Source organism: Homo sapiens, chromosome Y (genome assembly GCF_000001405.40).
Source record: "Homo sapiens chromosome Y, GRCh38.p14 Primary Assembly".
In the NCBI taxonomy this organism is placed as follows: domain Eukaryota; kingdom Metazoa; phylum Chordata; class Mammalia; order Primates; family Hominidae; genus Homo; species Homo sapiens.
Genome location: NC_000024.10, coordinates 13,462,478 through 13,479,055, shown reverse-complemented (window position 1 = coordinate 13,479,055; position 16,578 = coordinate 13,462,478). Strand labels below are relative to the sequence as shown.

Sequence of the window (16,578 nt, the reverse complement as noted above, 5' to 3'; positions counted from 1 at the left end):
AAAATCGGACGCTTTGGGACCGGGCTAAACCGGGTCTACACCACATGCCTGTTACTTTAGGGCCTTTTGTTCCTGAATTTTAGCGTCACAAATAGTGAATGTGTACAGTTTTCAAAATTCATAACTTCCTGCTTCTTCCCCTCGCCTTTTGGTATTTGGCTCTTGGTGTCTAATTTTAAACATTTTTTTGCCTTTTTAAAAAAAATATCCCTGGTGTCCTAAGTGTAAGTAGCAAGTAAGTTACAGCGGTGAAGAGTTTGCAGTAGATATTTGACCTATAAACTGATGCGTGTATGTTTAGCCTGAAGTTTAGTGATTTGTTGACTTTTTTAGGATGCACAGTGCTGCAAATGTGATTTCATGAATGTGTGTGCTTTTTCCATTCAGGAACCTTGTTTCTTAGGTGTCATGCTCACAGTGGGAAGAATTTGTTGTTTGTGTGAAAAGTTGGCACTGTCGTTTAGTTAATGGCTGCTCCTATCAGCCAAGATGGCGGGTAAAAAGGGGGAGGAGCAATAAAGGGGGAAGCTTGGGAAGAGGGTGGAGGTATTAACCCGGAAACCTTAGCAAGGAATAGACCGTAAAGAGCGCTGACGTAGCTTCATGTTGCTTATTAAAAATTATTATTATTTAAAAGTAGAATTCTTGCGTTATCTCCAACATTGACAGCAGCATTTTTAAACCTATATGTGCTTATTAATTGCAGCATGTTTAGTTACTCCCACGTGAATTGTTGCGTAACTTGGCCCTGGAATATTCCTGTGTGTATCGTTTTTTACCCTCTCACCAAAATCTTGTTAAAGTATTTGTATGTTGTCAATTGGTCCCGTGAAATAAGAACGGTACAACAATCGCGCCATCTTTTAGATGCTGAAGCCAGTAGTTAAGAATTTCAGTTTATTATTGTATTTGACAAGGAAATACTAATTATTTTCTCAGGATGAACATTTTACTTACCAAGACGTTTTACTTTGTAGTTTAATTCAGTACAGACGCTGAGTTCTTTTACCTATAATCTCCTTTGTATGTTTGTTTTGGGGGCAAATACTGATCAGAAAACTAAAATGTAATATATATATGTATGTATAATGTGTATATATATAGTTAGTAAATCCACTTTATTTGACTGATAAATGAAACATGAGTTAAACTTTGATTATGCAAGTGAAAATAGCTTTATGAAAAACATGTTATAGTATCAATGATACGATTTAAGCAACAGTGACTCGATCTGCCTTAATGTTTAAAATAGTTATGATAATGAAATAAAAGTAATTTGATGTTTTCTGGGATAATGTGGGAAAATACTGGTTGAGAACTTTAAATCTTCATATGCTGGAGTTAGGATAAATTCTCAGTGGGTTGTGGTTAACATTTTAGTTTGGAATGAACTTTTCAGATAGACAATATGGGGTTTAAATTTTAAGGAATTTTTTTTTCACATATTGATCCTTTCCAATTTTGATTACAGTAACATTTTAAATATGAGAAAGTGGTTTCATTATGTTTGGGGAGAACTGTAGCTTCATAAAACACTGAGTAATGCCGTATATTAAACTGCAGTGACTTTTTTGAAATGAAAAAAATATTAACTCAATTTCACTTCATTTGGCTCAGGATTCTGAAGGCTGGGAAGTCCAGGATCAAGGGGCTGCGTTTCATGAGGGCTTTAGTGCTGCATCATTCTTTGGAGAAGGTGGAAGGGCAAGAAAGTATATCACAGTGCAAGAGATGGGGGATGCCTAACTCTCTGTAATGAACCTATCCTCACTATGACATTAACCCATCCATGAGAGCAGCCTGCTTATGATGTTGTCAAATCTTAAAGACATCATTTCACAACACTGTTGCATTGAGGATTATGTTTTCAATGCATGAACTTTGGGGGACATATTCAAACCATAGTACCTGTTCTCCAAGACAAATTATTCTACAGTATGTATAATAAAGTATTTTTTCCCTTTCTCACAGAGCTTTGCATATATCACTGTTTTTTAAAAAAGTTCTTAGAATGATCTATTTCACTGATATTTCAGTTTTTATTCGTATTTATGTTTTCTATGAAAGTTTTATTTATAGATTTTACTAATGTCAGTATTGTTTTACAAGCTTCTAAAGGTTTAAAATATTGTTATAAATATGCTTTTTTCCCTGTCAAGTTTTCTGGACATTGAGGATGCTCTATCCCAACGACTAGTTTCTCTGATTTTTTTTTTTTTTGACCTCATACGTGAACCCGCATATCAAACCATTAGGATGGTTGTAACAATAGATTTCCTTAAAATTCTGTAACTTATGTTTTATAAGATTTTTATTAATTTTTATAAGATTGTCATCTGAATTAGTGTAAATACTTTTCAGCAAAAACTTTTTGGTTGAAGCTTAATAACTTGCTCGTATTTAAATAATACGCAGTTCAATTAAGTGAAAAACAGATTTTAGCAATAGTAACTTTTATTTCATGTTGGAAAACGTTTTAGGTTGATTTTGTTTGTATTATGATAGAGTTTCACTCTGTCAAATAGAATATTACTATTACAGTATGCCTTCAATATAATGCTAGAGGCATTAACAGGAGAAACGCCTATTAAAATGCTTTGAGTGGTTTTTTATACTGTAATATTTGAAAGGTGATATTTAAGATCTTGCGTTATATGCGTTTTGTTTGCTAACCTGTAACCTGTAGAACTTCATTTCCAGTTGTAAAAATAGTGTTTTGAGTTAAAAAAGCAACTATAGAAATAATGTCATGTTTTGTTATTTAGAATTAGGTCTTTAATTTGGTGTATCAGGAACAGTTTGGATGTTGTCTTCCAAACAATTAGAGTTGTTATTGTTTACGTATTACTGGACAAAGTATTAAGTAGGCATTATGTAAGAATGCTAATAGAAAATTTGGGTACAACGTTGGACATACATATCTGAAGCAATTATAGAAAATATTTTGATATCTAGGCACAGTTCCAAACTATGTGATAATAAATGGGCACTTTTCTGGTATTGGTTTACTTTACTTTTTTTTCCCCCGAGATGGAGTTTCACTCTTGTTGCCCTGGCTGGAGTGGAATAGTGCGGTCTCACCTCACTGCAACCTCTGTGTTCTGGGTTCAAGTGATTCTCCTGCCTCAGCCTCCCAAGTAGCTGGGATTACAGGTATCCACCACCATGCTTGGCTAATTTTTTGTATTTGTAGTAGAGACAGGGTTTCATCATGTTGGCCAGGCTGGTCTGGAACTCCTGACCTCAGGTGATCTGCTCTCCTCAGCCTCCCAAAGTGCTGGGATTACAGGAGTGAGCCACTGCATCCAGCCTACTTTTATTACTAACTAGCTAGCTTTTAAAAGAGTCAAATTGAAATAACTAGGGAACATTTGATATTATTTAAATTGCCAAATAAGATTGTTTTGCCTGTTTTGTCTGTGACTCAGGTGGCAAAATTTATTTATAGGCATAATGCTGTAAGCCAAAATTAAATTTTAGTGCTTTCCAACCACAGTATTATACATCTGTTCTGACATAGATTGATTTTTAGTTTTGAAGGTTATTTTTGCACTGCAACTTACTGTGATGCTAACGAATGATCCCATTTTAATGAGCTGTCTAGAGAGCTAATTTGTATTTTAAAGAATATAAGATTGTTTCATTCAACAAATTAAGACCTAAACCTACATATTTTGTAAATTAGTCAATGGCTGTCATAAAATGACTGGCATATTTTATGAACTTGCTTTGAATCTTCACATGATTGGCTTATAAATTGCTGCTGCAACTCAGAGCAGAACAAACTTGAGAGTGCCATGAATGGAAAACTTTTATGAAGGTCGTATTGAAGTAAGACCTCTCTCAGTTTAGATTGAACAAATAGTCCTTTAAGTGGTAGGATGACTAACACCGGAACATGAGTGTAGAATAAATGTGTGAAGGGCTTTAAAAGTTCACAGTAAAGGTTAGCTTATGAAAATAAAAGTTTGCATTGCTGTTTCTTAATAGGACAGAGTTGTTACTTGGAGATTATTTGATTCATACCACAGCAGTGCATCTTGTAATTTTATTTAGAATTCAGATTTAAAATCAGACTTTAGCTTTAGCAGATGTTTAAAGTAATGTACTTTGCTATTCTTTTACTCGCTGATCTCATTTTGTTATAAGCTTTACTTGGCCTGGCGTGGTGACTCTTGCCTGTAATCCCAGCCGTTTCGGAGATGGAGGCTGATGCATCAGTTGAGTCCAGAAGTTCAAGACTAGCCTGGGCAACATGGCAAAACTCCATCTCTACAAAAAACTAAGAAATTAGCTAGACATGGTGATCTGCACCTATAGTCCCAGGATGGACACTCTTGCCCTCTTCAGAGAATAGAATACAGATCTTTTCTCATTTTTACACTTTTGGCCTGTGCGTGTCCTTAGGTCTAAAGTGAATGTCTTTTAGGCAATGTGTAGTTGTATCTTGTTTTTTTAAATCCAGTTATTCCCTCTGTGTATTATGATTGGTGCATTACCTGTTTCTCTTTACTGACAAGAAAGGACTTACTACTTCCATTTTCTTTGTTTCATTTCATTTTTATGCCTTAAAATATAGGTTACTATAATTGTCTAAAAGTTTACCTTGTTTTCTATGTTGTACCCTTTTTATTTCTCTTTTCCTCTCTTTCTGCCTTCCTTTGTGTTTCATTGGATTTTTTTGTAGTGACAAATTTTAATTCTCTTTTCATTTCACTTTGTACATATGTCCTATATGTTTTCTTTGTAGTTACCATGGCAGTAACATAAAGCTTCATAAAGTTATAAAACTATCTTTGTTTTTTTTTCTTTTTGAGATGCAGTTTCCTTCTGTTGCCCATGCTGAAGTTCAGTGGTGCTATGTCAGCCCACTGCAACCTCCACGTCCCAGGTTCAAGCTGCCTCAGCCTCCCAAGTAGCTGAGATTTCACGTACCTGCCACCACACATAGCTGTTTTTGTATTTTTTTAGTAGAGACAGGCTTTTACCATGTTGCCCAGGCTGGTCTCCAACTCCTGACCTAGGTGATCTGCCTGCCTTGGCCTCCTAAAGTGCTGGGATTACAGGCATGAGCCACCACACCCGGCCAGTAATCATCTTTTGTCAACTGACAAGAACTAAATTTCAGTTGCATATAAAAACTGCTCTTTATATCTGTCCTTTAGGGATCCATTAATGTATTTTTTAGAATTTTTTTATGCCTTAAAAAATTAGATACCAGATTTATTCATTATTTTTTCATCTGCATTATAATATTATAGGTTACTATATTTGTCTATATGTTTACCTTTATTTTGTATTTTCAAATGGTTTTGTGTGCTGATTAACATCATTTTTCTTTAACCTGTGGGACTACTTCAGCATTTCTTACAAGGTAGGTGTAGTGGTGATGAACGCCCTCAGGTTTGTTTTTCAAGGAAGTCTTACTTTCTCGAAAATTGCAAATCCAGAGAGATACAAAAACAGATTAGCAGTTTTCAGGGGGTGTATCCCTTAGGTACAAACTTAGCAGTTGGCCCAGCACTCCTTGCTCATCCCACAACCATGTTATTGCCTTGGGAATTCACATTACTGCCTGCTATTTTAATTTTTTCCTGCGTGAAACAATACTTCTTTCTGGTAAAGTATGTCTATCGTCAGTTAGTTCTTTGCCTTTGTTTATCTGGGAATATGATTCTCCTTTTTAATAGAAGTATAGTATAATGAAGTATAGAATTTTTGATGATAGTTCTTTCATTATTTTTTTTTTCTCGAGACAGAGTCTTGCACTGTTGCCTGGGTTGGAGTGCAGTGGCGTGATATTGGCCCACTGCAACCTCCACCTCCCAAGTTCAAGCGATTCTCTTGCCTCAGCCTCCCAAGTAGCTGGGATAACAGCCACCCTATTCTCTTGCCTCAGACTCCCTAGTAGCTGGGATAACAGCCACCCACCACTACGCCCAACTAATTTTTTATGTTTTTAGTTGAGACGGGTTTTCACCATGTTGGGCGGGCTGGTCTTGAACTCCTGACCTTGTGATTCACCCACCTCAGCCTCCCAAAGTGCTGGGATTACAGGCGTGAGCCTCCGTGCCCAGCCTGGAGGATAGTTATTTTATTCTCCCATTTTTTCATTTGGATTCCAGTTATATTAAGATTGTAACACCTGGCATGATCTCAAAATGTTTCTGAAGCTCTGTTTTTGTTCAATGTTTTCTTTTTTTGGATTTGATCTTTTATATTGATGTATTAAATATTTAGTGTTGGTTTTCAGTTTCTGAGTTGTTTCACTTAAGATAATCACCTTCAGTTCCATCTTGTTGTTGCATAAGACATATTTTCATTCTTTTAATTGCCAAATAGTATTTAATTTTATATATGCCGCTTTTTCTTTATCCAGTTATCCATTGGTGGACATTGGAGTAATTACCTATCTTTGCTATTGTGAGGAGAGCTGCAGTAAACATACAAATGCAGTTATCATTTTGATATAATGATTTCTTATTCTTTGGGTATATACCGTGTAATGGGATTGTTGGATTGAATGGTAGTTTTGTTTTTAGTAGTTTGAGAAATCTCCATACTGTTTTTCAGAGTGTGCTAATACTCTATGAAAGTGTATAAGAGATTCCTTTTGTCTGTATCCCTGCCAATATCTCTTTTTTTTTTTTATCTTTTTAATGATAGACATTCTGTCTAGTGTTAAGATGATATCTCATTGTGGTTTTGATTTGCAGTTCTCTGGTGATTAGTGATGTTGAACATTTTTTAAATGTGCTTTTTGACTATTATGTGTCTTCTTTTGATCTGTTCTTGTCCTTTGCCCACTTTTTCTTTTTTTTCAAGTCTTGCTGTGTCACCCAGGGTAGAGTGCAGTGGCATGATGACAGCTTACTGCAACCTCAATCACCTGTATTTGCCCACTGTTTAATTCATTAAGTATATTTGTAATAACTACTTTGAAGTTCCTGCTGAATACAATATATAAATTTATTTGGGTAAGTTTTTGTTGATTGAAAAAAGTGACTTATTATAATAGGGTTACACTTACCTGTTTGTTTTCAGGTCTAGTAATGTTTGGTGGAGAATTAGACATTTTAGATATGTATTTTAAGAAAATTTGCATAGAGTGGAGGGTACTTGTGGACTAAACTGTGAAACTCTTTGCTGCTGTGAATGTTAGCACAATGTTAAAAAATAAAATTTCCTATGTTTTGCCTTTATTCCCTTTCGTCCTCCTCTTTTTTTTTTTTTGAGCCGGGGTCTCACTCTGTTGGTCAGGCTGGAGTGCAGTGGCACAGTCTTGGCTCACTGTAACCTCTGCCTCCTGGCTTCAAGTGATTGTCCTGCCTCAGCCTCTCCGGTAGCTGGGACTACAGATGCGCACCACCATGTCCAGCTAATTTTTGTATTTTTAGTAGGCACGGGGTTTCACCATGTTGACCAGGATGATCTATATCTCTTGACCTTGTGATCCACCTGCCTTCGGCCTCCCAAAGTTGCTGCGATTACCCCTTCTTTTTTGTAGAGTGCATTCACTATCGTTTTCATGCTGCCATTACTTGAAGTCCTGTTTTCCGGATACTGCATTTTGTGTAAGGAAGAACATTTATGTAAAGTACTTCGTATTGGGTCTGTCACAGTAGGGGCTTAGTACAAGTAAACTCAGGCAGTGGTTTAGTAATTCAGAAAGAGGAGGCAGGAATTATAAGTAATCACTGATCTGCTTTCTGACACTAAAGATGGTTTACATTTCTAGAATATTATGTAAGTGGGATTGTGAAAAATATACTATGCTTTAGCCTTGCTCCTTTCCTTCAGCTTACTTTCAGATTTATTCATTTTGTTCTGCATTACAAGTAATTCATTTATTCTTGAAAATACTGAGCATCTTTTCCTTTGCAAATAACAAGCTGTTTGCATGTTAAGACTGTAGTTAGAAGAAGTTAAGTTTTTCAAGATCTGTGGTTAGTAACAACTCTATTTGCAGCAAAATTCCAGAAGACTGTTCTTTCTGATGTTTTAGTAATGTTTTCATTCAGTTTTTCCCTTCTGCATACTCCTGAAAGTTCAAAGATTTGATCGGAACCCGTAACCACTCCCCCACCAAAGTTTGTGTGAAATCTTTGAAACACAGCACATCTCAGTTTGTGCTCTCCACATTCCAAATGTTTAAAAATTTCATGTGGCTAATGGCTACCAGAGTCAGTAATGTTCCTCCAATGCTTAATTTGAGAGTAGTTTTGTTGTAGAAATAAGGATTATAATAAGAATTTAGATATGTAACTTTTATATAAAGTTATTAATGAGCTCCTAGTTTATTTTATTGAGCATATGATCTTTTCAAGATGGAAAAGTACTTAGATCATGACTGTTGGCTTCATTAGTGAATTACTATTATAATTATTATTATTATTTTTAAAGTCAGTAAATTTTTATTCAAGGAGTTCCATGTTGTGATTACTTCCACTGTCCAGCAAGGTCACTTCAGATCCTCTAAACAGCTGGTGTCAAAAGATATATCTTCAAGTTAGCCCTTTTTAATGAAACTGATCTAGTCGTCCTGTCAGCCCATCATTACTTTGGCTTCTGTCATCTCCTTTTAATATGGGTATACTGCTGAAGACTTCAAAATTCACCAAGAATCCTTGGGATCTAATTTCTTCATTAGTAAATTCTTAAAGAGAAGTTATTTCCTCTCTGAAATGCCGAATTTAATCCTATGCCTATGGAAGAAATGACATACATTTATGGTTGCTTTGATTTCTTTAAGAATCTCGTGCAGATGTATGTATTCTTCCAGGAAGGACATGCCTTTTTCTTAATGTTTATAATTTTTATTTCTAGGCTGTTCGCTGCTACGAATCTTTAATCTTAAAAGCTGAAGGAAAAGTGGAGTCTGACTTCTTTTGCCAATTAGGTCACTTCAACCTCTTGTTGGAAGATTATTCAAAAGGTATTGTTATTCTCTTTCTAAATTTCTTGCTTGACTTACATTTGCCCCATAGTTGTAACGTTTTTTCCTTCTTCAGGGATACTTCTGATTTTTCCTTTCTTCTGATAAACTTAAAAACATAGTAATCAATGAGAAAGAATTTAGACTAAATAGAGATGTGAAAATTTTATGTGATTTCATGTAAATATGCCGTCAATTAGATTATTGAGTAAAACGTATAATATCCTACACTTGTATTGCTATTTTGCTTGCCCTTGTGAAAATCAAGTTTTTAAAAATGTTAACAGTAGAAAGACAATACGTTTGTCATCTTTGTCTATATTATACAAACGTGGACATTTTGGAAAGATCAGGAAAACAGTATTTCCTCATTTGATTTCTCGATTTTCTTTAAAATTTTTCATTATAGTTAGAAAATATTGCAAGTCTGATCTGTAGCAGTGTGTTATTCTGAAGGAATACAGGTTAGAATACAGTGTGTTATTCTAAAGGAATCTGTAGCAGTGTGTTACTCTAAAGGAATAAAGGAATACATCTCTTGAGTTTGAGCCTTCTATACAGCAGATTTTTTTCATTCAGTCAAATGATTTTTCTTCTCAGAAATAGGTGGAGGGGTGGGCCTGGTGGCTCATGCCTGTAATCCTAGCACTTTGGGAGGCCAAGGTGGGCAGATCACCTGAGGTTAGGAGTTCAAGACCATCCTGGCCAACATGGAAAAACCTCGTCTCTACTAAAATTACAAAAATTAGCTGGGTGTGGTGACGTGTGCCTATAATCCCAACTAGTGAGACTGGAGCAGGAGAATCGCTTGGACCTGGGAGGCGGAGGTTGCAGTGAGCCGAGATTGCGCCACTGCATTCCAGCCTAGGCAACAGAGCAAGGCTCCGTCTCAAAAAAAAAAAAAAAAGCAATAGGTGGAGATAAGTTTACTTAAGATAACTGTAAAAATTGTGTACTTTTCATAGTACCAAGCCACTGACCAAGAGCATTATTTATTTAGGAAATTAGAACATTTTTCCTTCACACCAATATTCTCATACCAAAGAATATTTTATAACTTTTGGATATAAGTAAACATATTGTAGAGAGTAGGTAGATATATTTTCCAGCAAATATGGGTAGTAGAAAGAACAGTTGACTATTTTAGGATTAGAGGGAAGAGTTGGTGGGGGTATACTACTTGTGTGCTTTAGCAGTAGAGTATCTGATGTACCTCATTTTTTGTTAGGTTAAGCCAGTGTTTACTAATGAAATGTACTTTTAATTTGACGTAGCATGCTCTATGGGGTATTAATGTTTCAGCTGGAACTTTGCCATTTAAAAATGGTTTATAGTAACAGATTTATTTAAGTTTCTCTAACTTCTTCCTCCTAATAATGTAGTAGGTTGGGGAATAGTAGCAGAGGAAGTCAATGAATGATAAATGGGATTCTTTTTTTTTTTGAGATGGAGTCTCACTGTCACCCACGCTGGAGTGCACTGGCGCCATCTCGGCTCACTGCAAGCTCCGCCTCACAGGTTCATGCCATTCTCCTGCCTCAGCCTCCTGAGTAGCTGGGACTACAAGTGCCTGCCACCACGCCTGGCTAATTTTTTTTTATATATTTTTAGTAGATACCGGGTTTCACAGTGTTAGCCAGGATGTTCTCAATCTCGTGACCTCTTGATCCGCCCGCCTCAGCCTCCCAAAGTGCTGGGATTACAGGCGTGAGCCACCGCACCCGGCCTGAAATTCTTAGCACTTGTTAAATGGGCTTTATTTTAGCAGGTGACTTTTACTGGTAATGTTTATTTATAAACTTTTAGATAAAAATTTGGTTAAAATGCAATATTTCTTTTTCTTTTTTTTTTGAGACAGTCTTGTTTTGTTGCCCAGGCTAGAGTGCAGTGTCACAATGTCGGCTCACTGCAACCTCTGCCTCCTGGGTTCAAGCGATTCTCATGCCTCAGCCTGCCAAGTAGCTGGAATTACAAGCATGCGCCACCACACTGGCTAATTTTTGTATTTTTAATAGAGATGGGTTTTCACCATGTTGGCCAGGCCGGTCTCCAACTCCTGACCTCAAGTGATCCACCCGTGTCTGCCTCTCAAAGTGCTCGTATTACAGGTGTGAGCCACCATGCCTGGCCTAAAGTGTAATATTTCAAAGGAAACAATTGGAGAAGAAAAATACATAGGTTTTTCTAGTACACATTTAAGATTTTTTTTGTGTGTTTAATATGCAAACTTGAGAGCTAATAAACAAAGACCCTGAATTGAGAAGTAGATTTAAATAGGGACTGTCTGACTTTGCTATGTAGCAGTCACTTAATATGTATTTTTAATTTCTTTTTTTTTTTTTTCTTTTTTGAGACAGAGTCTTGGTGTGTCTCCAGGAATGCAGTGGCACAAACTCTAACTTGACTCATTGCAACCTCTGCCTACCTGTTCAAGTGATTCTCATGCCTCAGTCTCCCCTGAGTAGCTGGGATTACAGGCGCCTGCCACCACTCCCAGCTAATTTTTGTATTTTTAGTAGAGATGGGGTTTTAACATGTTGACCAGGCTGGTCTTGAACTCCTGACCTCAGGTGATCTGCCTGCCTTGACCTCCCAAAGTTTTGGGATTACAGGCATGAGCCATTGCTCCTGGCGTGTATTTTTAAATTTCTTAAAGCTTTAAGATTGAGAATTTAGTCACATTTTCTATTTAAAAAGAAGAGAAGAGACCTTGTATAATTTTTGTCTGTGGAGTGAATAAAGACTCCAAGGAAATTGTTTTGAAGGTTATTTTGTTGTGTTTTGTTGTGCTTTGGGCACATGGTGGGTCAGACATTGGGCAAAATACATTAAGGTCAGAGAAGAATAACGCTGACATTTAAGTTCTTGATTAAATGTTCTCTCAGGTCAATATTGGCATGAAAAGAATTAGTCTTTTGGTGAGGCGCAGTGGCTCACGCCTATAATCCCAGCACTTTGGGAGGCCAAAGCAGGTGGATCATGAGGTCAGGAGTTCAAGACCAGCCTCCCAAAATGGTGAAACCCTGTCTCTACTAAAGATACAAAAAATTAGCTGGGCATGGTGGCATGCGCCTGTAATCCCAACTACTCTATAGGCTGGGGCAGGAGAATTGCCTGAACCCTGGAGGCAGAGGTGGCAGTGAGCTGAGATTGTGCCGCTGCACTCCAGTGTGTGCAACAGGGCAACACTCTGTCTCAAAGATAAAAAGAATTAGTCTTTTTAGACGTAGAGGTTAACTTGATCACTTGTAATAGTAGAGAAGAAAATAAAATGAATACAGAGACATTCATTTATATTTTATATTTGGTGTTGAGTTGAAAGTTTTCCAATTACAAGCTAACTGAGATTCCAGCCATTCATAACTTTCTCTCTTCTATTCTTCTTTCAGGTAAGTAATTTGTTACCTGTTGTACTGACAGCCACTTTTGTTAAAAATTTTGGCTCTGTGTTTTTGGTTCCTGTACATTTACTATTACTCCAAGAATGACTAATAATGTATGTCAAACTTTATGTTTCTTTTTCTTCTTTTGTTTGCCTTTCACTTTCTTGGGTGAAATTATAATACTCTGTCCTGGTACATAGAGTATAAGAACATAAAATGGGTGCTTCCCACTAATAGGTCTTTGAGTTATGCTTCTCCAAAAATAATAGTTTTATTTCATTTATGGATGAGCCTATTTGTGTTGCTGTTTAAATTGAAGATGGTGTTTCTTTAATTTGAAGTGTTGGTATAGTTTGAAAATATAAAAATCTGTTTTTTTAAAAAAGGAATTCGGTGTTTTTTTCCTTCAACTTTTATTTTAAGTTCTGGGGTACATGTGCAGGATGTGCAGGTTTGTTATATAAGTAGACATGTACCATGGTTGTTTGCTGCACAGATCCACCCATCACCTTGGTATTAAGCCCAGCATCCATTAGCTATTCTTCCCAGTGCTCTCCCTTCCTGATTCTTGATTATAGCTTTTTTCTGTTGCCTAGAGAAGGGAATTTCTTAAATATACAGTTTCTTAATCTGTAATGTGGAAATACTGTTTGTTTTCAGTATAAAGTAGAATATTTATATAAACTAGTGACCATAGTGTATGTTTCATGGAGTATGGTAGTCAGCATGGCCTTGGACCAACCCAGTTTTCATTCTTTCTCACTTGTAGTTCACAAGAATGACTGTAGAATGTACTGGGAATACAACATCCTAAGATGATGAGGGACTCAGCAAACAGCCTCCTTTTTTCCCAACTGCCTTCCACACCAGAAACAGGGTGCACTAAAGAGCTGGTGGTGTGTTCTTTCAACTGTTTAGCTCATTAAGGCTTATAATGCCAGGGTGTTAAACTTAGGGCTGCTTTTCAGGGTTCCTCAGCTATGGTGCAAGTGGACATGGGCAGATGAGACTCCATATGCTTTGGGCAGCTTTCATGAGCCTTAGGCCAAAGCTTGCAATGAATACTAGGCTTCTGTTATCCAGATTAGCAGCCTGAGATAGGCTCTCTGTCTTACTAGACTCAGACTCAGTATATGTGTGTGTGTGTGTCTGTATAAAACAATGAATTTGCTTAACAATGGATATAGATTCTTGTCATTTAGATTAATGTTATAAATCATTGTGAAAACTGAATTAGCAAATACTGAACTATTGTTCCTAAAGGGAAATACAGGATAAAGTTCCTATTAGCCTTTGATCACAACATTGTTGTTAGCTGATCAATACATAACTATATTTTATGTGTATTTCTGTTTAAAAATCCCTACTAAAATCTAAATTGTTGATTCATTATCATTGAACTCAAAGCCAGAAGCATTATAACTCATGCCTGAATGAAATATATTTTTCTGTGAGGCACATCACATTCTTTTTGTATTTAGGCACATTGGCACATGACGTTCTTTTTGTACTTAGGGACATCAGACAGCTCTTCAGCACTATACATCGGTTAGTGATTTTGTATACTTCTTAATGTTTCATTTTATTTTGTTATTTTATATTGTATTTTATTATTTTTTATGTATTTATTTTATGTATTTATTTACTTTTTTGAGACAGGGTCTCACTGTCACCCAGGCTGGAGTGCTGTGACGTGATCTCGGCTCACTGCCACCTCCACCTCCCGGGTTCATCTGTCTCAGCCTCAGCCTCCTGCCTCAGCCTCCCAAGTAGCTGGGACTGCAGGTGCCCGCCACCACGCCTGGCAATTTTTTTGTATTTTTAGTAGAGATGGGGTTTCACCGTGTTAGCCAGGATGGTCTTGATCTCCTGACCTCATGATCCACCCGCCTTGGCCTCCCAAGTGCTGGGATTACAGGTGTGAGCCACTGCACTCAGCTTTATTTTTTGAAACACAATCTCACTCTGTCAACGAGGCTGGTGTGCAGTGGTGCGATCTTGGCTTACTGCAACCTATGTCTCCTGGGTTCAAGCGATTCTTGGGTTCAAGGGATTCTTGTGCCTCAGCCTCCCTAGGAGCTGGGATTACAGGTATGTGCCACCACACCCAGCTAATTTTTATATTTTTAATAGAGATGGGGTCTCACCATGTTGGCCAAGCTGGTCTTAAACTTCTGACCTCAAGTGATACGCCTGCTTTGGCCTCTCAGAGTGCTGGGATTACAGGTGTGAGCCACTGCACCCAGCTGGATAGTGATTTTAAACAGCGAAATTACTAACAAAAGAGCAAAAATCAGAAAAATGTGACACTGCATACAGCAGGAAAAGCCTGTTTGTTTAGAATACTTGACACATGAAGTCAGAGAAAGGCCCACCGCTTCTAACATTAGCTGGGAGTGTGTATCCAGTGGGTCGAATTTATTGCTGCCCTGAGCAGGTCTGTGAATATCTTTGAAACCATCATTAAGTATTGATTTTGTGTATATATAAATTTTCGTGAGTCAAATAACAGAACCCACAAGTAATGAATATCAATTAAAGCTCTGAAAGCTGATAAATCGTTGCATATATGTCATATGATCTTTTAGCTAGAGATTCATGGAAAATTTGTAAAGAATATAGATTTTTCCTATATCATGTGGCTGTGTTCTTTTGTTGACAGTAAAGGACAAAATATTGCAATAAACTTGTGCTCATAGAATGGTATTATATGTCTTTGTAAAGCTGATAAATTTTTGCATATCCATCAGGTGATTTTGTATTTATCTTCCCTGCATTCAGAAGTTAAATACACAACGTCTTCATGTAATGTCCAATTAAATATATTTAGAATTCAGTCAGAGTTTTAAAAAGTCATAGATAGCTTCCTACTCGGCTTCTGAAAAACCTTTAGAGATTTCTCAATGATCACAATTTGTGGTGTCACTAATTTAGTCTGATTTATTCAAGGAGGAAAATGCAATTGAGAAGTTCAGAGAATAGCATATTAGTGATCATACCTCAGGTTTTCAGACATTCATGCCCATGCTCTCAGAACTATGGAATTGATGCATTGGGCAACTAGTAAAAGTTCTGTTAGCTTTGAGAACTGATGAATTTGTGGCAGAACACATTGCAAAAACAGAAAGAACGAAACTTTCTTGGAGGTTGTATGTAGCCAGTTCTGAGACCCTGATGACCTTGATGAGAATGTTATTTTAGTAATGTCAACAGGTGCTGGAGAGGATATGGAGAAATAGGAAAACTTATACACTGTTGGTGGAACTGTAAACTAGTTCAACCATTGTGGAAGACAGTGTGATGATTCCTCAAGGATCTGGAACTAGAAATAGGATTTGACCCAGCCATCCCATTACTGAGTATATGCCCAAAGGATTATAAATCATGCTGTTGTAAAGACACATGCATATGTAAGATTATTGAGGCACTATTCACAATAGCAAAGACTTGGAACCAACCCAAATGCCCATCAATGATAGACTGGATTAAGAAAATGTGGCACATATACACCGTGGAATACTATGCAGCCATAAAAAAGGATGAGTTCATGTCCTTTGTAGGGACATGGATGAAGCTGGAAACTATCATTTCAGCAAACTATTGGAGGGACAAAAAAACAAACACTGGGCGTTCTCACTCATAGGTGGGAATTAAACAATGAGAACACTTGGACACAGGAAAGGGAACATTACACACCAGGGCCTGTTGTGGGGTTGGGGGGAGGGGGGAGGAATAGCATTAGGAGATATACCTAATGTAAATGACGAGTTAATGGGTGCAGCACACCAACATAGCACATGTATACATATGTAACAAACCTGCACATTGTGCACATGTACCCCAGAACTTAAAGTATAATAAAAATATGTACATATATATATATATATGTATATATCCTCAAAAACTTCACAGAATTACCAATGAACCAGAAATGCTACTCTGAGGTATACACCCCTAAATAATTGAAACAAAACAAACCACTCAAACAAACACTTGTTCATGAATGCCCATAGCAACTTGATTCAAGTAGCCAAAAGGTGGAAACAACTCAAATGTCCATGACTATGTAAACAAGCTGTAGTATATACAGACAACGGAATATTACTCAGCCATAAAAAGGAATGGAGTACTGATACCTGCTACAACCTGCATGTCCCTTAAAGACATTATGCTAAGTGAAAGGAGCCAGACACAGAATCCCGTGTTTTTTGACTTATTTTATATAAAATATTCAGAATAGGTAAATCCTTAGAGACAGAG

At 36.9% G+C, this 16,578-nt stretch overlaps 1 protein-coding gene across 123 annotated transcripts in view; it reads left to right on the top strand.

Moving 5' to 3' along the window:
* Positions 1-16,578, top strand: part of UTY (ubiquitously transcribed tetratricopeptide repeat containing, Y-linked) — a 246,776-nt gene that overhangs the window by 1,615 nt on the left and 228,583 nt on the right. For 121 of the 123 annotated variants that reach the window (NR_174404.1, NR_047613.1, NR_047627.1 and 118 more), the window contains exon 3: positions 8,827-8,935. The exons of 1 other annotated variant lie outside the window; for it this stretch is intronic. Coding sequence is in view for 66 of the 122 variants with exons in the window: in XM_011531448.4 (XP_011529750.1) it covers positions 8,827-8,935 (109 nt within the window). In the remaining 56 variants the exon portion in view is untranslated. Of the gene's footprint in view, positions 1-3,030; positions 3,154-8,826; positions 8,936-16,578 lie in introns of all 123 variants that reach the window. One more of the 123 variants, NR_047603.1, reaches the window with a different exon arrangement.